The sequence below is a fragment of the Homo sapiens genome, chromosome 8, assembly GCF_000001405.40.
Source record: "Homo sapiens chromosome 8, GRCh38.p14 Primary Assembly".
Taxonomy (NCBI): domain Eukaryota; kingdom Metazoa; phylum Chordata; class Mammalia; order Primates; family Hominidae; genus Homo; species Homo sapiens.
This window is the reverse complement of record NC_000008.11, coordinates 67,551,792-67,579,353: the sequence shown is the minus strand read 5'-3', so window position 1 is coordinate 67,579,353 and position 27,562 is coordinate 67,551,792. Positions and strand designations below refer to the sequence as shown.

At 39.2% G+C, this 27,562-nt stretch overlaps 1 protein-coding gene, 1 long non-coding RNA gene and 1 pseudogene across 4 annotated transcripts in view; 1 reads left to right on the top strand and 2 right to left on the bottom strand.

Moving 5' to 3' along the window:
• Nucleotides 1-23,311, bottom strand: part of LOC105375886 (uncharacterized) — a 58,475-nt gene extending 35,164 nt beyond the window's left edge. Inside the window, exons 1-2 of the long non-coding RNA XR_007060953.1 lie at nt 23,232-23,311; nt 22,897-22,991 (exon numbers count right to left, since the gene is read on the bottom strand). This is a non-coding gene — a long non-coding RNA (uncharacterized LOC105375886). The remainder of the gene's footprint in view (nt 1-22,896; nt 22,992-23,231) is intronic.
• Nucleotides 1-27,562, top strand: part of CPA6 (carboxypeptidase A6) — a 324,323-nt gene that overhangs the window by 167,007 nt on the left and 129,754 nt on the right. The gene's annotated exons all lie outside the window — the stretch shown is intronic.
• Nucleotides 9,159-9,977, bottom strand: NACAP10 (NACA pseudogene 10; annotated as a pseudogene).

The window sequence follows — 27,562 nt, the reverse complement described above, 5'->3', positions numbered from 1 at the left end:
GCAACCTCCAACTCCTGGATTCAAGTGATTCTCTTGCCTCAGCCTCCCAAGCAGCTGGGATTACAGGCACCCACCACCACACCTGGCTAATTTTTTTGTATTTTTAGTAGAGATGGGGTTTGGCCATGTTGGCCAGGCTGGTGTTGAACTCCTGACCTCAGGTGATCCGCCTACTTCGACCTCCTAAAGTGCTGGGATTACAGGCGTGAGCCACCACGCCCAGCCTAAACATATGATTTTTAAGTTGAAAGTTGGAATGCTTAAAAGAACTATTGGGTTTCTATATTTATACATTTAATTTACGTTGTTTAAATATATTAAAGGTTTTATTGTTTGGGTGGTAGGCTTGTCTGGTCAGGCATTTGAAGTAAAATTCTTTGAATAAATTTACAAATGTAGTATAAAATGCTTAAGGGAATTTGATAAACTACAGGCTGATTATTTAAGGATGTTTATCCTGTGTTACTTAAATTAATCAAACAGTAATCAAAGAGCAAGGAAAGGTGAAATTCTTATTTTAGATATAGATTTATAGATGGAATTAATAAGATTTATATGCTGAACTTAAGTTAATGAAAATGATGTTTTTAATTATGTAACATGTTTTTTTATTATGTAAATGATGTTTTTACTTATTCCTAAATTGATGTTTCTTGAAAATGCAAGTAACTGGAACCAATCCTTTCTGTGCAAAAGCTTCTTGAACTTCAAAACTCATTATAGTAACAGGGACCCATAAGGAGCACAGTGGCAGGAAGAGGACACCAGATGCAGACAGGGTGGCTAGTCCATCTTGGTAATCAAGATGCTGCCCACTTGGCTGCCAGGGATCTCGTGCCAAATTGGGTTGTGCCCATGGTGCTGCACTGGTACCGTGTCTCTATAAGATACACTATTAATTCAAACCAATAGCCAAGACAAGCCAAATCACCAACAGCCAATCAAAAGTCATGGGTTGGGAAGGTGATTGTGTTACATTTGAGCACTTTGAGGGAGGAGATCCGCATCATTCATTTTAGATCTTCAGCATGGTGCCTACCAAACAGCTGATATACAGCTGATATACTGCATTATTTGTAATTTGAGAAATATCTTCTGCATAGAAATGCAGAACAGAAAAGTGGTGTCCTTCTAAACCCGCCATCAGCTTAATCCCAGATCTTTTCTCTGCATATTTTAGAACAAAGGTCAGTAAACAACAGTCCGGGGCAAAATCTGACATGCCACCTGTTTTTGTACAGCCTTCAAACTAAAAAATTTTTTATATTTTTTAATAGTTAAAAACATCAAAATAAAAATATTTTGTGACACATGAAAATGTTATGCAATTCAAATTTTAGCCTCCATAAATATTTGAAATATTTACTATGTTTGGTTCTTTATAGACAATGTTTGCTAAATCCTGCTCTAAGGGAACAATTTTATCATCTCAGGTGAGTTGATGTACTGGGTAGACAATTCGTAGACTGCAACATATTTCTTATCCCACATGACTCGAAATTACTTATCAGCAAGAGGCCTGAGGTCAGGATACAGCCCCTGGGCTGCAAACATTCAGGGTGGTTCTGCCTGACACACAGGTACTCTTCATTCATATTATTTAAATGACATTTATTTCTCCTGGGAGTGAGTTACTCTCTTACGGAATTATTTTTACTGCTTAATTTAGGCAGCAGGTTAAAGTTAACTCATGCTTTCCTTTTGCTTTCAAGAAATGTTAATATCACATCTGATACAAAAGACAATTATTACCTTTTTGGATCCTGAATATTTCTTACACCTGTCACTACTAAAAATACAAAAAATTAGCCATCTTTCTTACGCTTCGAAGAGCGTAAGAAAGATGCCTATTCTTCAATCAGTATATGGGAGTAGTGAATCTTCCCTATTAGGAACCTCCAGATTACATGCTAGGCAAGCTTTTCAAGCCCAGATGGGGAGATGAATTTACTACAAAGCTAATGAAGCTTAAGCTTTAGGACCCCTCCCTGGACAGGCCCTTCCCATGTGTTCACATGCTCACATATAAAAGTAAAATGTTTTATCTGTTTAGACTGATGTCTCATTCCACTTAGAGTTACCATCTGTCACTCATACCCTCATGTCTTTGAAATGGTCATGGTACTGAGGGGATTCAGCTAAAGTGGAATTTGGGATATAATTAGTTTGGGTTAAATGGGATTCCGTTTAAATGACTCAGGCTGGGCTAGGTGACTCAGGCCTATAATCCTAGCACTTTGGGAGGCCGAGGCAGGAGGATCACTTGAGGCCAGGAGTTCGAGGTCAGCCTGGCCAACATGGTGAAACCCAGTCTCTACTAAAATTAGCCAGGTGTGGTAGCAGGCGCCTGTAATTCCAGCTACTGGGGAGGCTAAGATAGGAGAATCGCTTGAACCCCGGAGGCGGAAGGTTGCAGTGAGCTGAGATCGTGCCACCGCATTCCAGCCTGGGTAACAGAGCAAGACTGTCTCAAAAAAAAAAAAAAAAGTTTCTAAGACTTGAAGTCCCTTGGTCTATAGTCATACTACCTGTTCCTTCCACCCACCGTGCCAACACACAACTCAGCGGCTTTATGTTGGGGGAAACATTGTAAAGTGATAAGAATGCATCCTATAGCACTCAGTACCATAAGCAGAGTTAAAGAAGCAATGTTTGAAATTTATGAAGTCAGAAGCCACTCTGTAGAATGTTCTTCATATCATCAGATATGTATAATTGTAAGAAAAAGATTTGTTTCTCATCACCATCTTGTCAAAATGAACATTCCCTGCTGTCAGAAATATGCTTGATAGTGGAGCACGTATGATTCCAAATGCACCATATATTTTATAGAAATTATGTCAAATTAAATTTCTACATTTTTAGAGCATACACCTATAGCACTTCTACAAGCAGTGGGATTTATGTCTATGTGAGTGGTCATATGTTTTACACATCCCAATGTATCAAATCAAATCTTAGTGTGCAGCTAGCACATCTTGACCTGATTAAGTCTGGTGGTTCCAGATAAAATGTTTTTTTTAATTATATACATATAGACGAATTATAGTTGTATATATTTATGCAGTATAAAGTTATGCTAGGATTTTTTTAATACAATGGAATGGTTAAGTGAAGCTAATAAACTTATCCATCACCTCAAATATTTGAAATGTTTGTGATGAGAACATTTGACATTTATTGTCTTAAGTGATGTTAAAATGTACAGTACTCAATTACTAGCTGTATTTACCATGCTGTGCAGTAGATCTCAAAAAAATCCAACTTATTCCTACTATGCAACTGAGGCTTTGATTATCATCTCCCCATTCCTCCAAACTTCAGCCTCTGGTAACCACCATTCTACTCTCAGTTCCCATGAATTCAATTGTTTTCAATACCAAAATCAAGTGAGAACATGTATTATTTGTCTTGTGTTATTTGTTTTTCTGTGTTTGGTTTATTTCACTTCACATGATTTTTTCCAATTCCATCCATGTTGACAAAATTTCTTCCTTTTTTTTTTTTTTTTGGAGACAGAGTCTCACTCTGTTGCCCAGGCTGGAGTAGCTCACTGCAACCTCCACCTCTGGGATTCAAGCAATTCTCCTGCCTCAGCCTCCCAGGTAGCTGGGATTACAGGCACCTGCCAGCATGCCTGGCTAATTTTTTGTATTTTTAGTAGTGACAGGGTTTCACCATGTTGGCCAGGCTGGTCTCGAACTCCTGGCCTCAGGTGATCCTCTCGCCTTGGCCTCCCAAACTGCTGGGATTACAGGCATGAGCCACTGCACCCAGCCCAGAATTTCTTCCTTTTTTAAAGCTGAGTAGGTTAGTATTCCATTGTGTATATATACATTTTCTTTATACATTCATCAGTGATGGACACTTAGGTTGATTCTGTATCTTGACTATTGTGAATAGGGCTGCAATGAATAGGAGTGTAGACATGTCTTTGACATACTGACTTTAAATATTTCAGAGAAACACCCATTTGTGGCATTGCTGGATCATATGGTAAATCTGTTTTCAGATTTTAAAGGAAGCACCATACAGTTTTCCATAATGGCTGTACTAATTTACATTCCCACCAACAGTGTACAAGAATTCCCTTTTCTCCACACCCTAGCCAACACTTGTTATCTTTCCTCTTTTTGGTAATAGCCATCCTATCAGGTATGAGGTGATATCTCATTGTGGATTTAATTTGCATTTCCCTAATGATTAATAATGTCAAGCATTTTTTTCATGTATTTGTTAGCCATTCATATGTCTTCTTTTCAGAAGTGTCTATTCAGATTCTTTGCCCATTTTTAAATTGGATTATTTGTTTTCTTTCTATATAGTTGAGGTCCTTACATATTTTAAATATTAATCCCTTATCAGATGTATGGCTTGCAAATATTTTCTCCCAATCTGTAGTCTGTGTCCTCCCTCTCTTAATTGTTTTCTTTGTTGTACAGAAGTTTTTATTTTTATGTAATTCCAGTTGTCTATTTTTGCTTTCATTGCCCATGCCTTTGGAACCAAACCCAAAAAAAAAAATCGTAGGCTGGAGAAATATCATGTAGTTTTTTCCCCTATGTTTTTTTCCAGTGGTTTTCAGGTTTTATGTTTAAATCTATAATCCATTTTTAGTTAAATTTTTGTATATGGGGTGAGATAAGGGTCCAAATTTATTCTTTTGCATATGGATATCCAGTTTTCCTATCACCACTTATTGAACAGACTGTCCTTTTCCCATTGTATATTCTTGGCACCTTTGTCAAGTTCATTGACCATAGAGGAACAGATTCATTTCTATGATTTCTGTTCTGTTCCATTGGTCAATGTGTCTATTTTATGCTAGTACCATGCTCTTTTAATTACTATCACTTTGTAGTATAGTTTGAAATCAACTACAGTTGGTGTGATACCTCTAGCTTTGTTCTTTTTGTTCATCATTGCCTTGGTTATTTGGGTTTTTTGTGGTTCAATTTGCTTTTTTTTTTTTTTTTTGAGACAGAGTCTCCACTCTGTTGCCCAGGCTGGAGTGCAGTGGCATGATCTCAGCTCACTGCAACCTCCACCTCCTGGGTTCAAGCAATTCTCCTGCCTCAGCCTCTAGAGTAGCTGGGATTACTCTCGTGCCACCATGCCCAGCTAATTTTTGTATTTTTAGTGGAGATGGGGTTTTACCATATTGCCCAGGCTGATTTTGAACTCCTGACATCAAGTGATCTGCCTGCCTTGGCCTCCCAAAATGCTGAGATCACAGTCATGAACCACCACACCCTGCCAAATTTGCTTTTTCTACAGCTACGAAAAGTGACATTGAGATTTTCACATGAATTGCATTAAATCTGTAGATCACTTTGGGTAGTATAGATCTTTTAACAGTATTAATTCTTCCAGAACATGAACACACAGAATATGTTTTAATTTATTTGTGTCTTCTTCAGTTTCTTTCCTTGATTTTTTTTTTTTTTTTTTTTTTTTTTTTTGAGACGGAGTCTTGCTCTGTCGCCCAGGCTGGAGTGCAGTGGCGTGATCTCGGCTCACTGCAAGCTCTGCCTCCCGGGTTCATGCCATTCTCCTGCCTCAGCCTCCCGAGTAGCTGGGACTACAGGTGCCCACCACCATGCCTGGCTAATTTTTTGTATTTTTAGTAGAGACAGGGTTTCACCGTGTTAGCCAGGATGGTCTCAATCTCCTGACCTCGTGATCCGCCCTCCTCGGCCTCCCAAAGTGCTGGGATTACAGGTGTGAACCACCGTGCCCGGCCTCTTTCCTTCATATTTTATAGTTTTTTGTGTACAGTTCTTTCACTTTCTTTGTTAAATTTATTTCTAAGTGTTTCATTTTTGTAACTATTGTAAATGGGATTGTTCTCTTGATTTCTTTTTCAGAAAGTTTGTTGTGAATGTAGAGAAATGCCACTGATTTTTGTGTGTTAATTTTATATTCTGCAACTTTACTGAATTTGTATATCAGTTCTAACAGATTTTTGGTGGAATCTATAGGATTTTCTATGTATAAGATCATGTTGTCAGCCAACAGTGACAATTTAACTTCTTCTTTCCTGTTTGGACGCTTTTTATTTCTTTCTCTTGACCAAGTGCTCTGGCAAGGACTTTCAATACTAAATTAAATAGAGGTGGCATGAATGAACATCCTTGCCTTGTTCAGGATCTTAGAGGAAAGGTTTCTAATTTTTCACCATTGTGTATAATGTTAGCTGTGGGCTTGTTATATATGGCTTTTATTGTGTTTATATACATTTTATCTATACCTAATTTGTTGAGTGGTTTTATCATGAAAAGATGTTGAATTTTGTCAAATGCATTTTTTGCATTTAAAGAAATAATCATGCTTTTTCCTTGATTATGTTAATATGGTGTCTCTCATTTATTGATCTGTGAATGTTGAACCATCCTTGCATCCCAGGAATAAATCCCACTTGATGGTGATTGATCCTTCTAATGCACTGTTGAGTTTGCTAGCATTTTGTTGAGGATTTCTGCGTCTATATTCGTCAAAGATATTGGTCTGTAGTTTTCTTATTTTGTGATATTTTTGTCCGGCCTTGGTGTCAGGTTATTGCTGCCCTTGCAAAAAGAATTTGGAAGTATTCTCTTCTCTTCAGTTTTTTTGGAAGTCTGTAGAGAATTAGTATTAGTTTTTATTTAAACGTTTGGTAGAATTCAGTCATGAAGACTTCAGGTTCTTGATTTTTCTTTAATGGGTGTCTTAGTCCATTTTGTGTCGCTATAAAAGAATACCTGAGACTGGGTAATTTATATACAAAAGAGGCTATTTAGCTCACAGTTCTGCAGGCTGAGAAGTTTAAGGTCATGCATGGCCCTGACCTCTAGAGAGGGCTTTCATGCTGCATCACAACATGGCAGAGAAGATCAAAGGAAAAGCAGACATGGGCACAGAGCCAGGAACTTGAGGGGCATTCTGGCTTTATAATAGGCTCCTCTCATAGGAACTAATCCATTCTTGTGGGAATTAGCCCAGTCTTTCAAAAGCAAGAACTTACTACTAGGAGAACGGCACCAAGCCATTCATGAGGAATCTGCCTCCATAACCCCAGCACCTGCCATTGAGCCCACCTCCCAACACCACCACATTAGGGATCAAATTGCAGCATGAGTTTTGGTGAGAATAAACAAACCATATTCAAACTATAACAATGGGAGACTTTTTATTGCTGATTCAGTCTCCTCACTCCATTATCAGTCTGTTCAGATTTTCTATTTCTTGTGATTCAGTCTTAGCAGGTTGTATATGTTTAGGAATTTATCTGTTTCCTCTAAGTTTCTCCATTGCTTGTCCTATAATTTTTCATGATAGTCTCTTATTTTTCTTTGTATTTCTGCGGTGTCAGTTGTAATGTTTCCACTTTCGTTTCTGATTTTATCTTAGTCTTTTTTCTTTTTTCTTGGTTAGTCTAGCTAAAGGTTTGTCAATTTTGTTTATCTTTTTAAAAAACCAACTCTTAGTTTAATCAATCTTCCATATTGTTTTTCTAGTCTCTATTTATTTGTCCTGATCTTTACTCTTTACTTCTGCTAGCATTGGGCTTAGTTTGTTCTTCTTTTTTGTATTTCCTTTAGATGTGATATTAGATTGTTTATTTGCAAACATTCTTCTCTTTTGATGTAGGCGTTTTTGCTACAAACTTTCCTCTTACAACTGCTTTTGCTGCATTACACAAGTTTTGGTATGCTATGTTTCCATTTTCATTGGTCTCAAGATATTTTTTAATTTCCTAATTTCTATATTGACCTTCATTGCTAAGTAGTATGTTTTTTGACATTTATTTGTGAATTTTCTGAAATTTCTCCTGTTGTTAGTTTTTAGTTTCATACCGTTATGGTTGAAAAAATATTTGATATGATTTCAATCTTCTTAAATTTGCCAAGATTTGTCCTGTGGCCTAACAAATGATCTACCCTAGAGAATGTACTCTGTGTTCTTAAAGTGAATGTGTATTCTGTTGCTGTTGGCTGGAATGTTCTGCATATGTCTGTTAGTTCCATATGATCTAAAGAGTTCTTCAAGTCCAATGGTTCCTCAATAACTTTCTGTCTACATGATCTGTTCTATATTGAAAGCACTGTATTGAAGTCCCCTGCTGCTATTGAATGGCAATCTCTCTCTCCCTTCAGATCCGTTAATATTTGCTTTATATATTTAGGTGCTCCACTGTGGAGTGCACATGTGTTTATAATTTTTATGTCCTCTTGATGAAGTGACCTCTTTTTCATTATAGAATGTCATTCTTTCTCTGTTTGTATAATTTTCTACTTAAAATCTATTTTGTCTGATACAAGCAAGTATCGCTACCTCTGCTCTCTTTTGGTTTCCTTTTTTGTGAAATATCTTTTTTCATCCCTTCTCTTTCAGTCTATGTGTGTCCTTAAAAATGAAGTGAATCTCTTGTAGATAGCATATAGTTGTCTCTTGTTTCTTTATCCATTCATTCACTCTATGTCTTTGAATTGGGGAATTTAATACATGTACATTCAAGGTAATTAATGCTAGGTAAGAACCTACAAATACCATTTTGTTCATTGTTTTCTGGTTGTTTTATAGATACTTTGTTTCTTTCTTCCTCTCTTGATGTCTTCCTTTGTGATTTGATGGTTTTCTGTAGTGGTATGTTCTGAATCTTTTTAAATTTTGTTTTTTCTATCTCTTATTTACTTTTGCTTTTTGGTTATCATGAAGTTTACACAGAATATCTTATAACAGTCTATTTCAAGCTGGTAACAGCTTAACTTTTATTGCGTACAACTCTAAACTTTTACTCCCCTCCCACATTTTATGTTTTTGTTGTCTGAATTTACATCATTTTGTGATATGTATCCCTTGGTAATTTATTTTAGCTCTAGTTGTTATTAACAATTTTGCCCTTTAACCCTCATACTCGGAATATAATTATATATCACTATTACAGTACTAGAGTGTTCTGATTATTGCTCTGTATTACCTACACCATTAGGTTTTGTGCTTTCATATGTTTAGCGTTATTATTTAGCAACCTTTTGTTTCAGTTTAAAGAACTCCCTTTAGCAATTCCTGTAAAGGTAAGTCTAGTGGTGATAAACTTCCTTAGCTTTTATTTGTCTGGGGAAGTTTTATTTCTTCCTCACTTCTGAAAGACAGCTTTTCTGGATAAAATATTCCTTTTTATCTAACAGGAAACCATAACTTTATTAATGATAGAAAGAGTACAAATTTCAATTCAAGCTGCAGTTACTCTTTTGAAACACCGAAAAAAAAAAGTTCTTGTTTTCAGACGGTTAAATTGCTAATTCCATACTCACGTTAACAATATCATTACTGTTGTTCTTCAGGCCTTGAACTGCCTTTGTTCTTGATACATTTGCTTGCAACATGACCAATTCTGTGTCCTTAATTTTCACACGTTTCATCAAGTTCCTCACCTGTTTCATCAACTTCCTCTTTACTCTCCTCTTGTACAGTTGGAAGAGGCTACATGTTTCCTTGAATGTTTGAGAGAGCTTCACCTTGAAATTTGAATTTCTCAGTAGCCGCTAGCTGTGCTTGCTGAGATAAACCTCAATCTCAGCTTCCCTTAAAAACCATGTCGGTATTTGAAGCTGGGATCTTACAGACATCTGGTTTTGTGATGACAGAGTATTCTTAGATTTCCAAATAATGTCTCTAGTAACCCCTGTAACCTGCTTAAAACACAGTTTGGATATAACCTTCTGTGCCTTCTTTTCACTCCAATTCTGTTTTGCATTATTGACTGGTTCTTCATCAATTTCAGCTGCTGCTGACAACTGGGCTTGTTGTGTGGTCGTTGCCTGTGTGGAATTTTGTTCCTCAAGCTCTGGTACTGATTCATCACTGTTAGATTCTGTTACAGACCCTGTCTTAGCCTGTGGCTCTGGCTACTTATGCTCCGTAGCAGAGACAGTTTCTGTGTCTTTACTGGGCATTTTGTAGGGGGAACATGGAACCGAGATGGTGGCAGAAAGTAATGAATAAAGTATTCCTCATTGGCAGTCTTCTTTTTCTTCAACACTTTGAATATGTTATCCTACTGTCTCCTGGCCTGCAAGACTTCTGCTGAGAATTCCATCTACAGTCATATTAAGACTTCATTGTATATGATATATTTCTTATCTCTTTCTGCTCTCAGAACTCTGTCTTTAATTTTTGACAGTTTGATTATTATATATCTTGGTGAACTCCTCTTTGAGTTGAATTTAATTGGGACTTTTGTACTCCCTGTACCTGGATGTTACCTTCTTTCCTCAGATTAGGAAAGTTTTCATTCATTATTTTTTAAAAACACTCTTCCTGCCAGGCACAGTGGCTCACACCTGTAATCCCAGCACTTTGGGAGGCCAAGGTGGGTGGATCACCTGAGGTCAGGAGCTTGAGACCAGCCTGGCCAACATGGTGAAACCCCTTCTGTACTAAAAATACAAAAATTAGCTGGGCATGGTGGTGGGTGCCTGTAATCCCAGCCACTAGGGAGGCCGAGGCAGTAGAATCACCTGAACCCGGGAGGCGGAGGTTGCAGTGAGCCGAGATCGTGCCACTGCACTCCAAACTGGGCAACAAGAGCAAAACTCTGCCTCTAAATAAATAAGTAATAAAAAAAAACTTCCTGGCCCGTTTTCTCTTTCTTCTGTTTCTTGAATGCCTATTATGCATAGGTTAGGTCTCTTGATGGTGTCACGTAATTCCCATGGGCTTTCTTCATCTTTTTCATTCTTGTTTCTTTTTGCTTCCCTGATTAAGTAGTTTAAAATGTTCTGCCTCTGAGTTCACTGATTCTTCAGCTTGATTGAGCCAGCTGTTGAAGCTTCCTATTACATTTTTCAGTTCAGTCATTGTAATCTTCATCTCTAGAATTTCTATTTGTTTCTTTGTGTATTGTCTCTATTTATTTGTCAAATTTCTGGTGTTGTTTGTGTATTTTCTGAATTTCATTTAATTTTTTATCTGTATATTCTTGAAGTTTACTGAACTTTTAAAAGTAGATTATTCTCCATTTTTTCTGTCATTTCATAGATTTACCTTTCTCTAGGGTCCATTGCTGGAGCTTTCTCATTGTTTTTTTCTTTGTTTGTTTTGGAGGTATCATGATTTCCTAAATCTTTGTAATCCTTATGTCTTTGCATTGGTGTTTATGGCTTTATAGAGAAAGCCAACTTTCCTGGCTTTTACAGGAGTTCTTTGGCAGGGATAGACCTTCACTAGTTAGTCTAGCCTATGAGTGTGGATGGGCCAGCTCGTACTGACCCCGGGCAGACAGAGTTTGCTTTCAGGTTATCTAGAAGCCTGAGCTGCTCCCTTTGCCCTGAATTCAGGTGAGACAGCTGGCTAGGCTCTTCTATCCAGCAGGATAGGTACATTCACAAAAATCTGTGTGCTGATCTCTGTGGGCCTCACCTCCTTGCTTTGTTTCTGCCTGACCCCAGGTGGTCTAACTGCACTCTTTCCCCTATGTTCCTCAGTCCCCGTGAGGTAAGGACAGAGTGGGCTTCCTGGGAAGCATCTCAGAATGCTAGGGAAGCTGGCTGTCCACTTCCCTGGTTCTGTTTACTCACTGTAGAAACTATGAGCCCTGGGGAGTACCCTGTGTGGCACTGTGCCAACTTACGGAAGGCAGAGGGGTGACATAGTCAAAGTGAGACTGATTATCCTGCCCTTTCAATGTAGATTTTTATTCAATTCCATGGAACACACAAGTGGTTCAGATTTATTCCCATGTTTTGGGGTTTTCACCAAGGTGTTTGTTTTTGTCTATGAATAGTTCTAGTTGATTTTCCTGTGGAGGGGAATGAAACCCAAGACTTCCTTTTCCACCACCTTGCTGACCTCCAGACAAAAAGCATTACAAAACTGCCACTGACCCAGTTAAATGTCCTGAAGAAAGCAATGTTTTGATGGCAAAACTCCTATGTTTATTCATTGGTAAGTCAATGATTGCCATATAAGAGTAATTTGATTACACCATTATGTAGCTCAATACAAAGTAGGAGCAATTTTTAAATGCATTTGATTGCTTTTGTGCCTGTGTTAAATTTCTATTCTTTTTTAAGAGGACATCTCAAAACTGCATGAACTTCAGGTCTCACAAGACCTAAATCTGCCCTGGCCAGGCCCATGTATCTGATATCCCATAAGAGAGAGGAGTTGCACAGGTTTGTCTATTCTCTTGACCCTATTGTCTGAATAATCATACACATTTAAGAAGAAAGAGGTGAGTAAGGTAGAGGCTCTCCTCTACCATTACTGTAAGTCTACTACTCTCTACATGCCTGCTCCTCTTTCAGTCTGTCCAAGTGCCAACTGATAAATTTTTTCCATTCTTATAGTCCAGATTGCTAGTGCAGGGTGTTCAACTTGCCTTTTCATGCCAGGTCACAGTTTATGTTACATACTGTGGCCTAAAGAGTGGCCACCTTTCACTCCAAACAATGGCTATTCTTATATAAAGAACAGCCTTCTACTTTCCCACCATTCCTGGGCATATCATTTGATTATCTGCAGTACATGAATATTAAGCATCCTGAAGAGGTTAGAGTTCATGCACTGGAACCAATCTACACATTCCCTGTGCTTCTCCAGCAGCTCCTGCTCTCTGGGCATAGGGATGGAGAGGGTGAACTGGCATACTGATCTAGGGTTAGGGTTTGGTGGTGAGGGTGCAGCATGCAGCTAGACCATGAGATAGTTGTACATGTTATCAACCAAAATGTCCACTTTGGGTAGAGAAAGAATGAAGACTAATAGGGAATGGAAGTCAGGAGACAGCAGAAGTATCTAGGGACTAGATATCTAAATGATATTAAAAATCCAAAAGGTGAAAACATAGCCAGGAACTTGTGGTCCAAGAGTGAGAAATTTGAATTTAAGGTTTTAGAGGTGACACAAGATATTGTCCTTAAAGTGGATTGATAAAGTAGACTGGAGATTCACTCCATTGGCATTGAGAAAGTGGAGGCTCAGCTGTCAGATATGGACATTGACAACTTCCTGGACATTTCCTGCTGGTGGGACACTGTACACTATGAGGAGATGCCCATCCCAGTGCAAGAGAGAAGGTGACTGCAAGGTCAGAACAGGGCAGCAATGAGTCAGGACCAATAGTGTTATATCCAAACAGCATTATCTTTGGAGGAAGATGTTCTTCTGCAGGAAAACTAATGACTAATACTATTGAAACGACAATGGGAAGAGAGGAGAATGCCAAACAAAAGAACACTGGAGAATTGGCTATTATCTCCTCTGAGACTTGAGCTATTTATCCAGAGGTGAGGATTTGCTTTTGCCTTGGAAGCCCCTTCAGAAACCATTTGAGTGTCTGGCAAAGAAATGAAAATCATGAATCAGCTGTAACCATTTAGGAGTGAAATTCTCTCTGAAAATTTAATTTGGTCTTGGCAACAGAAAGGATGTTTCCCTTGTCATGGTGACCCTTGTTATCCAAGTATTTGCAGGAGGCATTCTCCAAAGTGGCATACGAGGAGTCTGATATTTTTTTGAAAGCTTTTTCAAAGTGAAGATGACATCTCAGAGAGATCTCATCTTCCTGAGAGTCAAGGTGCTGAGACAAACTGACATTACAAATAAAACCACATTTCAGAGTAGAAATTGATCCATACCAACTAATGACCTGCTCATTCTATTTTCTCTTGGGAAAAAAACTAAACAGTTTGGCAAGGAACTATCCTTGACTATGCAGTCCTAAAGGTCTTTTTCAAGGTAGTTTATCCTGTAAGAAGTGAAAGAAGTGGTATTTTGTGATGGTGATTTGGCTGCACGTCCATTGCCTGCTCTGTTGTTCTGTGTCTGTAGTGACTTGTGCTAGTCATGCACCTCAGACAGTGCAAGGTGCTTCCTTTGATCTATCATGTCAGCAGTGGGAGAGGTCCTTAGCCTAACAGAGGTCTGACTAAAAGAACAGCCTTCAAAGTGAGTGTCATTTTCAGAAATAACCATGCTCTGCCAGATCTGTATGGGGTTTTTTAATCGCATGCTGCTGACAGAACGTTTCTTGTCATTTTTGTTTTTCTGCGTCCCATTATCCTCTTTTTCTTTCTCCTTTGAAGTATTTACAGACAGTCTCAATCTCTACAACTGGGTTTTGAGGAGGATTCTGCAGCAGTTTACAACATACCTAACAACAGAGCAAGATCCTAAAAAACAACAACAAAAAAAAAAAAGAAAGAAAAAGAAAAACGCTGTGGCATAGTCCCAATTCTTGCTCTCTCATTGCCTCCCACCTGCTCTCCATTATCCAATATATTTGTTTTCGGGTCATGCTGATTTAGATAGCCATCTCTAGCTTTAATTCAGATGGCGTAACTGATCCGACCACATGTTACATACTAAATGATCTAGAAGACCACGCTGCGGTTCTCAGTTCATCTTTCAGTAAGCATGTTTTGACATTGAGTCAAATAATCCTATGAAAATCCTTTCATAAGGATTATTTGTCATAACGATAGTGTTATCTTTTGTTGTTTGCAGCTGAATGTTTTGATCATTGTTTAATTGGGATAGACATATTGTCACATTACAGATCATTTTACATAAAAAGAAACCACAGAAATCTATCAGCAATATTAATCCCTAATTAAAATGCATTGACATCATACTTAATGTATGAAAAGAGCTGAATTAAGCCTTTTTAAATTAGAAAATTCACTTTAGGCAGAAATAGTGGCTGGAAACATAGACATTTTTCTCTTCTAGTGGACAACGATGAGTATAATTTTACTGGTATGACAGCTACAAGAACATTCTGTGCCTTTGATTCAGCTCTGTACTGCTCTTCCTATGACCTTGAGAACTCACTTGTATAAGAATTCAGTTTTGTAAAAGGATATATTCTTGAGTCACAAGTAGGAGGCCTGAATTAAATAAGCTAACACCTTAGATGTAGTTCTCTATATCCAAAACATAAAAAAAAAAAAAAGAACACTTTTAATCGTCGCTGCTCAGCTTGCATCCCAGAGAAAGAAATAGAAGCACAGGCTGCCAAAAAGAAACCCCAAACAAACAAACAAAAAAAGCTTTAGGAGCATCACAGGCAGAGACTAGAGAGAAAAATCTGGGTTTTACCACTATAGACCTCTCCAGGAAATGGCAAACTTTAATCCTAGAACCAGAGACCAGTTGCCTAGTGCTTTCTGTTTCCTATTCATGGATTTTGTCTTGCCAACAAGATGATAAACTCTTCTGGGGCAGTGATGTCATTTTTGCAATGCTAAGCACCTATCATGTGGCAGGTGCCCTTCCACATCCTGGATATACAGCTGTGAACAATTTATGCAAAGTCCCTTCCCCAGGACCTCCTAACATCCATTCAGTGGAAGTATATTAGGACCAGTATATAGCACTGTGAAATGTTCTTCCATATTGAAACCTTTGAAGAGGCAACTTATCAATGAGCTACACGTACCCCAAAATATGGAATAGACTTGCAGCCTAAGATGACTGCTTCAGTCATGGGAGTGAGGGAAGGTGGATAAATAATTCTAACTGTGACTCATAGAATGTGGTAGAAATCAGTAAAATTAGTATCAAGGACAGCCTTGAAGGACATGGACTAAACATGCAGATTTGCAGATTTAAAGAGAAAGCATGAGAAAAGAAGTTGGAGGGAAGTGGCCTTCCTAGGGGAAAGGAGTGAGATTTTAAGGCTATACAATCTCAGATCTTTTTGTATCAATCAATCGTCCCTGAGCCCCACAGCCTACTTTTGTGTAAAGGTAGTCAGAAGGAGCTGGATATGAGATTCCTTCTCCCTACCCAAACTCCAGATGGGTTGTTCCAACAGCAGGTTTCCCAGCTGAGGCCTCTTAAAGAATGACCTCCCTGAAAGAATTTCAGAGCTGTGCTTTCCCATGTTCTGTCCAAGATTTTTAGAAAAAAAGGTGATATTTAGCTAACCTTCCTAAGTTGTTACAATTTGCCAGTCACTCATGTTCTTTACATATATGATCTCACTTAATACAAAAACCTCAGGCAGTGAATGACGCTGATAATCCCAGGAAGGTAGAGCTCATAAGAAGCAGAACCATCAGTCAAATGCAACCCAGGCAGCTGTCTCCAGATCTGTGTTCTTGATTAGCATGTTTAATTTACTCAGGAACAGTTACTCTCTGTTTTAGTTAACACCAAAACATACATTTTTATGGTTCCTATTTTAATTAAATAAGTAAAGCATGTTGTCACATCCTATTTGGCCCTGGTTGTGTTTTTTTTTTTCTCTTCATTCTAATTTTTGACTCAGTTTAGTTCTACAAACATTCATTGAGCAACTACTCCATGCTCATCACAGTGATCATTGCTATGGAGACCCATCATCTGCCCTGGAAGAGCTTACGATCCTTTGGGGGAGACAAAACGTATACAGAGAAAACAGAGGGCCATACCATTGCAATATAGTATATCAGGAAATACCAGAAGGTGTGATATCAACTGTCTTAGTCCATTGGGGCTGCTCTAACAAAAATACCAAAGAGTAGGTGGCTTAAATAATAAACATTAATTTCTCACAATTCTGGATTCAGGGTAATCCAAGATCAAGGTGCCAACAGATTCAACATCTATTGAGTGAGGGCTTTTTCCAGATTGAGAGACAGCATCTTTCCACTGTGTCCTTACATGGAAGAAGTTATATGAGAGCTCATTGGGGCCTCTTTTACAAGAGCACTAATCCAATTCATGAGGACTCTACGGTCTTGACCTAATCACCTCCCAAAAGCGTCACCTCCTAAAAGCCTCACCTCCTAATACCATCACCTTGGGGGTTAGGATTCAACATATGAAGTTGGGAAGACACAGTCAGACATAGTACCAACTGTACGTAGAACCACAAAACGAATGCAGAGTAAGGAGCTGCATTGGTAATAGCATCTGCCTTACAACAGCCACCAGGAGGGCTTAGCGCTTTCAACCACCAAATACTGGCTGTGTGCTTGTGTCAGACATTCTGTCAGGGCCAGGAAGGGCGCAAATCTTAACCAAAACTGGAAAAAAATATAGAGCTGTGAGTGCCCAAGTACACTGTGAAGGGAGAAAGTGACAGAGACCTAGAGAGTTGATAAAGGTACAGCAAGAGAAAAGAAGACAAAATAAGCCAAAAAGTACATGTTTATGTATTTGAGGTTGGAAAGGCCTAGATGGGGAAAATTGGACTTAAAGCTCATCTAAAGAACTAGCAGCTTCTGGTTCCCCTCATCGTATTGACACTGCTCTTCTCTCTGCAGAAGACCACATCTCAGAACAGTCTGTAACTTTCCAGAGATCACCTGAGCTCTAATTTTCTGTTTTAAACCTGTAGAATTCACCATTATAAATTCTCATGGGCTCACGTCCTTCCATTCCAACAGCCATTGCTCTACTATCATCTAGGCAATTGCTAATAGTGTCCTAGCTGCTCAGCCTTCTTTCATTATATAGAAGCAGAATAGTAAATGGAAAGCATACCTTTTAATAGCTTCTTATTTTGAAATAAACTTACAGAAAATTTGGAAGTGTAGTATAAAGAAATTTTGTTCTGGACCACTGAAAAGTAAGATGCCCCATCATGCTGAATTCTTTAGAGTACATTTCCTTTAAACAAGGACATTCTCCTAATAATCACAATAGGACCCTCAAAATCAGAAATTAACACCGATATATTACTTAATCCTCAGACCCTACTCAACCTTCACCAATTCTCCCAATAATGGCCTTTATAGTAAAAGCATCTAGTACAGAATCACACAATAGGATTAAGTTGTCATATCTCTTTAGTTTCCCTCAGTCTTTCCTTGACTTTCATGACCTTGATACTTTTGAAGATTTCATGCCAGCTCTTTCAAAGTTATGTTTCTTGGTTTGGCTTTGTCTGACGTTTCCTCGTGACTAGAATCTTGTTATGCTGCTTTGGCAGGAACACAAGAAAATCATGCTATGTTTTCATCGTATCCAATCAAGTAGCATGAGTTTCTATGTGTGCCACGACTGATGATACTCACTGTGATGACTTGATTGAAAAGGTGTCTGCCAAGCCAGGGTTCTTTGCTGTTTTTCCTTTAAGTGCTTTATAGGGAGGTACTTTGAAACCATATTTTGTCCCGTTCCTCATTTGTATTCTCAGCAATGCCTAGTGGAGTTCCTGGAACCAGTTTTTTTAACTAAAGTAATGGAGAGCTTCAAATCACCAAGATTAAAATTTTGAAGTTCTATAAGCAATTTGTAGTAATTATAAATTTGGGGGGTATGGTAGAGACACTGACAGCGGTTGTAACAGAATGATTAATTGGACTGCTCCATGTAAGATGAATTAGAATAGGAATTTTAAAAGGAGATTTTGTTGTCTTTGTGTAGTTAACTAGATAGAATCATCAACATTTTTGTTTATAATATGATTTCAAATAATCAGGGTTGGGTAGGCCAAGCTCCATTTACTCTCCAAATGATAATTATTTGTTTTAAATGTGGGCAGGGAAAATGGCTTTGGTTATAATGTCCACATAAACAGAAATAGGGATGGGGCTAAGCAGGGGAGAGCATAAAGATGATGAGTCACAGAACAGGTGGGAAAAGGACTACGAAAGGAAATGGGAGGTGGCCTAGCAACCCATTTCCATTTTGCTCAAGGCCCTAGTGTCAGCTGGTATCCCACATAGGATGCAAATACCCAAGTTTAAAAGGCAGGAACAGTTGAAAAGGCAGCAAATCTCAGCTTCCTCCAATTCAACCCTTTCCCCCCTTTTCCAGCCACTTCTAGAAGGAAGAGAAAAGAATGAGAATGAGCAGTGATTCTACAGCCCCTCACCCTTGTGCCTCTGCTCCCTACCTCCCTTATTTACACAGTTTATTGCATTATACAAAGGTTTTCCCTATCACGGGAACCAGTGCTCTGTGCCTCTGTGAAGATCAAAGGACTTGCAGAAGACTGTTAACTTATTTCCTACCTTTGAAAGCTTTGTATTTCTTCCTTGCTCCTATGTGTACTAAAGGATAGGAAGTTTGAGAAGGTGTAGCTTTGTCCCACTGAGGAAGAGTGTATATCAGGTTAACAATGCCCTGTGTCATAAATGATGATAATGTCTAGCGAGCCCTTTGGGAGATGCAGTATTTCCTTTTGTAATTAGAGTATTCCTCCATTTCCTTGCGCTGTGGTTTGCAACCATAGCCCTGCCAAAAGTACATCTGGAATATATATATATATATATCCGGAAATACAAGAAGATGTGATACCAACTGTCTTAGTCCACTGGGGCTGCTCTAACAAAAATACCAAAGAGTAGGTGATGTAAACAATAAACATTTATTTCTCACAGTTCTGGACTCAGGGTAATCCAAGATCAAGGTGCCAACAGATTTGACGTCTGTTGAGTAAGGGCTTTTTCCAGATTGAGAGATGGCATCTTCCCACTGTGTCCTTACATGGTAGAAGTTACATGAGAGCTCCTTGGGGCCTCTCTTATAAAAACACTATATATATGTGTGTGTGTGTGTGTGTATACATATATATATATATTTTGTCCAACTTATTAGCAGTAGAAAGCCCCATTGTATAGAATCCTGTTTATGAGGCTACAGACAAATTTCCCATCTTGTTGCCTTCTCTGAATGGCTCAGAGAATGATGCCTACAGTTGTGTGCTGTGATATGGAAAGGTTTTATACTAAGGTTCATCAAAGCCTTAAAAGGACAAACAGAATAGAATAAATAAGAAAGAAAGTTTGCCTGTTTCTTCACACATGCAAAACTTGAGTGGGCTTGGAATATTGGCAATGGACAGTCAGGCCTCCTTTTCCTATAAAATTTTAATGAGAGAACATGGGTAAAAATCTGAAGATTGTATATTGCTAAATCTAAATCCTCTACCCTAGAAAGGAGAGATGGTAGGACATCATGGCCATGGGATAGTGCAGGGGTGTGTGGCAGGCTAGTGTCATTGTCCTGAGGCCGAATTCACAAATAAGACTTGTCTGGGACTTTTCTTCCACCTAGTCTCCTATGTGTGTGTGTGTTTGTTGGGGAGGAGTAATTAATGCTTTCATTGGTAGAAGTATAAGACCTGGTTAATCTATCCCTGGAAAATCATTCCCTGAACAGTCTAGATAAAATTTGATACTGATCTTATGAGGTCACATATATAAAAATATTAAATGGTTTAGAAACAAATATTGATGGTATAGTTAAGGTAGAACAAGAGTGGGACAAAGAGAAATTTCAATGGACTCTTATGAAATACAACATCCCAAAAGTTGGAACGTTTTAAACAAGACCCCAAACACTAGTGCCCTGACACTGTAATAGTCAACCCTCTGATTCACATGGGCCCCAAGACGTATTTTGAAAAGCAACATGAGTCAACATTAGACAGGGTGGTAAAATTTGGGAGCCAATATAATTTGACAGGGCTTTGTTAAAAGAAGATTTCACCAATTTCACTGACTCATGCACATTGCCTTAAATTTTTGCTTATTTGACAAGATTGTACCTTTTTTCTTTTGAGCTAGTACTCAGGGCTTATTTATGGGTACCCTCAGTTTCATGATGGAATGTGACCAGATGGGACGAAGAGCCATAATCCTGCAAGATTTGTGATGTGCATTTGCCTGGTTCAAACACATCAGTGAATGGTTTGCAGCAGCCTTTCTTCAGTCTGACAGACTCTTGTATTGACAGTGTCTTCCAGCAAAACTATGCTTAGCCCTCTTGCTGCCAAACCCTTTTCCCCAGATGACTTACTGTAATGCATGAATGGTTCATCCAATGAAAACTGTTGCCCACTTGTTCTGAGTAGGCTTAGAACAATAGAAGTTATATATTTAGGTACTCTACGTTTCTGGGTTCATTTGTAGGATAAAAGTAATAAATTTACATTGACTTTCACATTTTAGATAGCACTGAAAACTAAATGTATTGTTTGTTCAATAAATACTTAAAGAGGTAGAGTAGAAAATAAGATAGATGCCCTCATGGAGTTTATATTATTCTCCTCACAGAGAAGAAAATCAGCAAATAAAAAAGTAAACAAGATAGCTACAGATGGTGATAAAGGCTACGAAAGAAATAAACGGATTATATAGAAGAAATGCATTTCTTTGGGTGTTCAGAAAAGACCTCTCTAGAAAGGTGATAATGAGCTTATTAGTTGAAGAATAAGAAAGTTAGCTATGCAAAGGTCTCAAGAGAGAACATTCCAGGCAAAAATCATAGCAAGTGTGAAGGCGAATTTGCCAAACTGAGCTTAGCTGTTTGATGGAAATAAACAAAGCTTGTCTGGCTGGAGTGAAGTGAATGGAAGGGGGAAAAGTAAGATATGCAGTCTGAGAGCTACAGCTGGGGCCCGCTCATACAGTGGCTTAGAGAACAGGAGAAAAATGTAGGGCTTTGTTCTAAGGGCAATGGGAAGCCATCAGAACTCTTGTTTTTAAGCAGAGATGTGGTGTGATCTAAACACTCTTGCCTCTAGGGACGGGGAGGGTCTCAGCCATGACACAAAATCAGTATTGAAAATGCTGTACCCCAAGGCTCAGTAACTTTGACTAGAAGGCTAGTTTCTCCTGAAAATTTAGTACAACTAGTGTTTAGTGTCTATTCCTTACTTAATGCTGAACTTATGACCAAAGGCAATAGGCTAGGATTATTACAATTTAGAAGTTTGCAGGAAGACTCCTATGGAGCCAGAATTCAGACCTCTGAGGGGGGCACTGGCTGATACTGGTGCCCCAGGAGCTCTGAGCAGACACCCTGCAGAACTGAGATCAGACCTCTGAAAATAGGGGGTTGGGGAGGTTTGCTGGCCAGATGGTGCTAATCTCTCTGAAGCTGTACAGTGTTGCTGGTTCAGATTGGGTAAGAAAAACTGCAGATTGAATCCAACTGCTGCTACTAGAGCCAACTGATGCAATCACAGGTATGTAAGAGGCAGCAGCAAAGCAAACTTCATTTTCAAGGAGTGAAATGGAAGCTGCATGAATCACTTTCATTCATATCCTGTTGTTCTTACAGGCATAAACACACCTAACTCTCGGTAAACATGCAACTCAATGGGTGGGAGCAGAGATGCACAGATGTTCAATAGAGAATAACCTGCAGGCTTCACCTTCCACTAGTCAGTTTCCTTTATATTGAGAACATGCAGAGTGTCCATTAGTCTGGCAAATTGATTACATGTGGTACAATTAAATCTGTTCAGGACACTCTCTAACCTCTGGTGGCACTCAAGCCTCATCACTCGGCTCTATTTCCAAAAACAAAGAATCCTATTATATAAACCAAAGATAAAATGTGGCCCACAAAGAGGTACAAAGTTAGAGGGGGTGTTCAGAACCATAAATGCAATTTACTAGGGATAAAAGCTCCTTTTTATTATCGTCTCCCCCAACCATGGCAAGGTCTGGCAGGACCAGGGCAAGAAGACATGGAAAGAGGTGGCTCAGTGAAGCTCGGCCTCAGGCCTTAGGAGGAAAGAGTCCTATTCTCCTCACGGTCCAGGTGCTAATCTCAAGGGCCAAGGTCAGGTAAATTCCTAGATAAAAAGCCTATGCAGCAAACTCTCGGCGCTGCCGCTCTTGTCTGTGTTTTGGGCTAAAGGAAGCAAGAGGATCTTGACATTCACAAATAGTCCCTCTAAGTTCACCAAAGTCTGAGTCCAGATAGGGGTTTGGGAGCCGAGCTCTAACTGATAATAGAATAGCATTTTTTCCTGGAGTGTGCTCATAGCTGGGGTGCTTTCGTATGTGTCAGTGTAACTAAGCTGAAAGTAGACTTCCCAGAATTCCCATCCACTTCTGAGTGAGGGTTGGCCCCAGGAGAAATTGCTGGACATTTGGAAGGCAGAGATAAAGAGGCAGCAAGTCCTCTCTAAGTTCTGAGCTGGGGGCCAAGTACCTGCAGGTCACACACATGATTACTGACCTCCCAGCTGAGTCTCCCCTCGTTCACCTTCAAGTTCTGTGCAGGAGTGTGTGTGGAAGCGCAGGATGTCAGCTTCTTCTGCAGGTAGCCACATGCTGGAGGTGGAGGCAGTGAGACAAGCAGTTCTACTCTGTCCTTCCTCTCCCCTCCTCAAGCCCAGAGGATCTGTAGGGACTCCAGCCCCAAGACCAGTGGCAACACTCTTTCCTAAACTTGTTCCTGAGCTCCTACGAACGCAGAAACCCCATCTCCCATAATAAATCCCTTATTCCATATCACCTGAACCTTAACTAATATAATCCAGGTCATGTTATGAAACCAAGTTATGCCTAGACCTTGACAACAAGGTTTGTTTCTTGCTCATGATCCATCCACATCTCTGTTCTGCATGGTGTTCACTCTGGGGCCCAGGCTGAAGGAACAGCCTCTGTTTAGAACATTGCCAGTTACCATGGCAGATGGAAGCAAGATGGAACTACACACTGCTTCAGGCTCTGCCTCACAGGGACTCATAGTTCCTTACACACTTCTTGGCGAAAGCAATTCCAACAGAAATACTTGGATTTCACAGAAAAATGGGTGAATGTAATATAATATGCGTATGGTTTTTCCTGACACCAAATATGTGTGATTTTTCCATGCCAGTTCTGTAATTCTCTAACACCAGCTGCTTGTCCAACAATCCAATTCAATCCTGACACTAACACCCAGAGTTAGCAGAGACCTCACAAGTTAAGGGCTCAGTCCTGCAATTCTGCCCCACTTCAGACACCAGCTACAAATGGGATGCCCAGGCTGCCCATACTTCTGCCTGGCTGACTACAAATTCAGAGGTTTCCCTGAGCCCCTCCTTAGGTTCAATAATTTGCTAGAATGACTCCTAGAACTCAGGAAAGTGCTTTACCTACAATTACCAGTTTAATTTAAAGACTACAACTCAGGAACAGCCAGATGGAGAGATGCATAGGGCAAGGTACGGGGATGAGGGGGCTTCCCCGTCCTCTTTGGGTGCAACCTTCCCAGCTCCTCCATATGTTCATCAACTCTAAGCTCCCCACACACCATCATTTAGGGGTCTTTGTAAAGGTTTCATTATGTAGACGTGATTGATTAAATCATTGGCCATCGATGACTGAACTCAATCTCTGGCCCCTCTCCCTTTCTTGGAAGTTAGGGGACAAAGCTAAAAGTTCCAACCTCCAGTTACACGGTTGGTTTTTCTGGTGACCAGCCACCATATTGAAGCTATCTAGGGTCCTCCCCAACTCTAAGAGTTAGCATATATAAGATAATAAATTCCAAGGGTTTAAGGAGCTCTGTGCCAGGAACTGGGGACAAAAACCAAATATTTATTGTGGGTTGATTTGGGGTTGTCAACTTGACCAAATTAAGGGATACTACCTGGTATAGCATTGTTTATTCTCAGTGCTTCAGTAGGCACTGAGCCCAGCCCTCTTCTGCTGATAGCAAAAAACTAAGTGTTTTTGCTTGTGATTCAGACGATTGGACTGCCCCAGGTGTGACTGTGGGGGTGTTTCTGGAGATTGGCATGTGAGTCAGTGGACTGAGTGGAGAAGATCTACCCTCCATGCAGGCAAGGGCCATCTAGCAGGCTGGGGCCAAATGGAACAAAATGGCAGAGGAAGGATGAATTTGGGCACTCTCTCCCAGAGCCAGGTCACCCCTCTTCTACCTTGGGATGGAATAACTCCAGATTCTTCAGGCTTTGACCTTTGTGACTCACACCAACAGCCCCCAGGCTCTCAGGCCTTGAGCTCAGACTGAGAATTACACCATTGGCTTCCTTGGTTCAGAGGTCTTTGGACTTGGACTGAGTCATGCTAAGGGCTTTCCTGGTTCTCCAGCTTGCAGACAGACTATCGTGGGACTTCTCAGCCTCCCTGATATAGTTTAAATATGTGTCCCTGCCAAATCTTATGTTGAATTTTAATCCCCAGTATTGAAGGTGAAACCTAGTAGGAGGTGACTGGACCATGGTGGCGGATTTCTCATGAATGGTTTAGCTGTTTCCTCTTGGTGCTGCCCTCATGACAGTGAGTGACTTCTCATGAAACCTGGTTGTTTAAAATTGTGTAGCACCTCTCTTATTCTCTCTTGCTCCCATTCTTGCCATGTAAGACACCAGCTCCCCCTTCACCTTCCACCAGAGTAAAAGCTCCCTGAGGCCTCCCTAGAAGCCCAGCAGATGCTGGTCCATGCTTCCTGTTACAGCCTGCAGAATCGTGAGCCAATTAAATCTCTTTTCTTTATAAATTACCCAGTCTCAGGTATCTTTATAGCAGTGCAAGAATGACCTATTACACTCCCTAATCAAGAGTGTAATAGACACGTCCTTTTTCATGTGTCTCTCTATATGCTGTATCAGTTGTGTCTCTCTGGAGAACCTTTACTAAAATATTTATTTTTCATTATACCACAATATGTCACAGTGGTAAATAGATAAGTAGACAGACATGTAAGCACATATACATATACCCTTCAGGAATAGCACATGGTTTACAGCAAGCCAAAAATTCAGGTTTGAAAATCACCACTGTCTTTCTCTCTCCATCACAAATAACTAACTATATTGTTCCTTCAGCAATATTTTGGGGACCCAAATTAGGCATAAACATGGTATTTGGTGTTGTTTTAAGACCAAGTCATTCATGTTGTTTATTTTTATTATTTTTTAGTAGTTCTCATTTGATACTAAAATGCCACATTTTATTTCAGCTACAAGATGAGAAAATATTTATTGGAGAAATGCTTGAGTTAAGTATTAGGTTACTTCTGAATCTTGAGACTCAAGAGGAAAATGATTATTTTTTCCACTCTAATATCTCAAAAGTAGACAAATATTGAAGTGGCTGTGAGGAATTGATATCATAAGCCCTTGAGAAATGAAGGACTGTATGCTCATAAAACTACTTCTAGTTTATAGCTATGGTATAATCCATACCCCTTATGTAATAATATTACCAGTAGGTTTCTCTGTGTATTTCAAACAAATGGAAAGTTAGCTTGAGAACTTATAATATCATTACTCTTTACCATAAAATTGTTTATCTGTTTTTCTCCTACTAGGCTACAAGCTTGCTGAATTGATGGGATGCATTGTGTTCATTTCTGTATCCCCAGCAGTTATCATGGTGCTTGGTATAGAATAGATGCTCAACAAATGTTTTACCAATTTTAAGATGCACACATTTTTTATATTTTAACACTTCTCTCAAATTAGGATGCATCTTACAATTGATAGTGGCTTAAGTCACTGTCAGCCAGGTGTGAAAATCTTTAATTTATAACTCCTGATAAAAATCAAGAAAGCATCAACTTCACAGCATAGTCAATTTGATAACATATGGGTGATTAATAAATGATTAAAAGGTTAACTTCCTAGAGTTGTTTATTATAATATTGATTCAAACATATTTTAAAAGGGGATGTCATGAGTGTGACATTAGCATTTTGTAATTTCACAGCTTCATAAATTATACAGTTTAAATCAAAATCTACTTATTGTCATCCTTTTAACTAATTCAAACAAAAATGCAACTGTACAAATGGAACTTATTTTAACCAAATTGATTTCCTTTATTCTTTTTGTTACAATGTAATTAAGAAAGAGGCCCTTCTCTTGTTCTTTTCTTTTCTTTTTTTTTTTTTTTTTTTTTTTTTTTGAGACAGTCTTGCTCTGTCACCCAGGCTGGAGTGCAGTGGCACCATCTTGGTTCACTGCATGCAAGCTCTGCCTCCCGGGTTCATGCCATTCTGCTGCCTCAGCCTCCCGAGTAGCTGGGACTACAGGCACGTGCCACCACGTCCAGCTAATTTTTTGTATTTTTAGTAGAGGCGGGGTTTCACTGTGTTAGCCAGGATGGTCTTGATCTCCTGATCTTGTGATCCGCCCGCCTTGGCCTCCCAAAGTGCTGGGATTACAGGCATGAGCCACCGTGCCCGGCCATCATTTTTTATAATATGTTCAAAAGTACTAAGATGTGTTTCACATTAATTTGTGTTTTGTATTAACCCCATTGATATATATTGAGCACCTATACTCAGCACATAGTCTGCTAAAAGCCATGAAGGTAAAAGTTATTTTTCTATCCCCATGATTTCTGAGACCCTTAAGCCACAGGCAAAACTTCCACTAGGCAAATAGCATTTTGTGTCCCAAGCTTTGGTAAGTAACCTGCCACTACTCCTATTCCGTTTATGAATTTCAATCTACTTAGATGTGTATGCTGCCATTTCTCTGTTTCTTCACTTTTAAGCTTGGTTGTTTTAATAGGTGGGAGGCAAGGGACAGATTTTATTATAAACTCCATGACGATGTTTGTTTACTTTGGAAGGATTTGGAAGAAAGAGAACTAAGAGAATTTTTTAACAGCGTGTTTACATATTGTGCATAAAGTATTGAGATAAAAAGGAGAAAAAGTCTGATTTTAAAGCAACAATCCTCTTATTACATCAGATGATCAGAAATGCCAGCTTGAATTCTTCACTGCCCATTTCATCAGCTGCCATCATTATAGGCTTTAATATAATTCCAGTAGTCTGTAAATTTACACCAAGGCAACTCCTCATATCATACATAAAAAGAATATTCAAATGTGCCCACTCTTTTCCAATATTCTAGTAAAAATCAAGAATGCAATCCCAT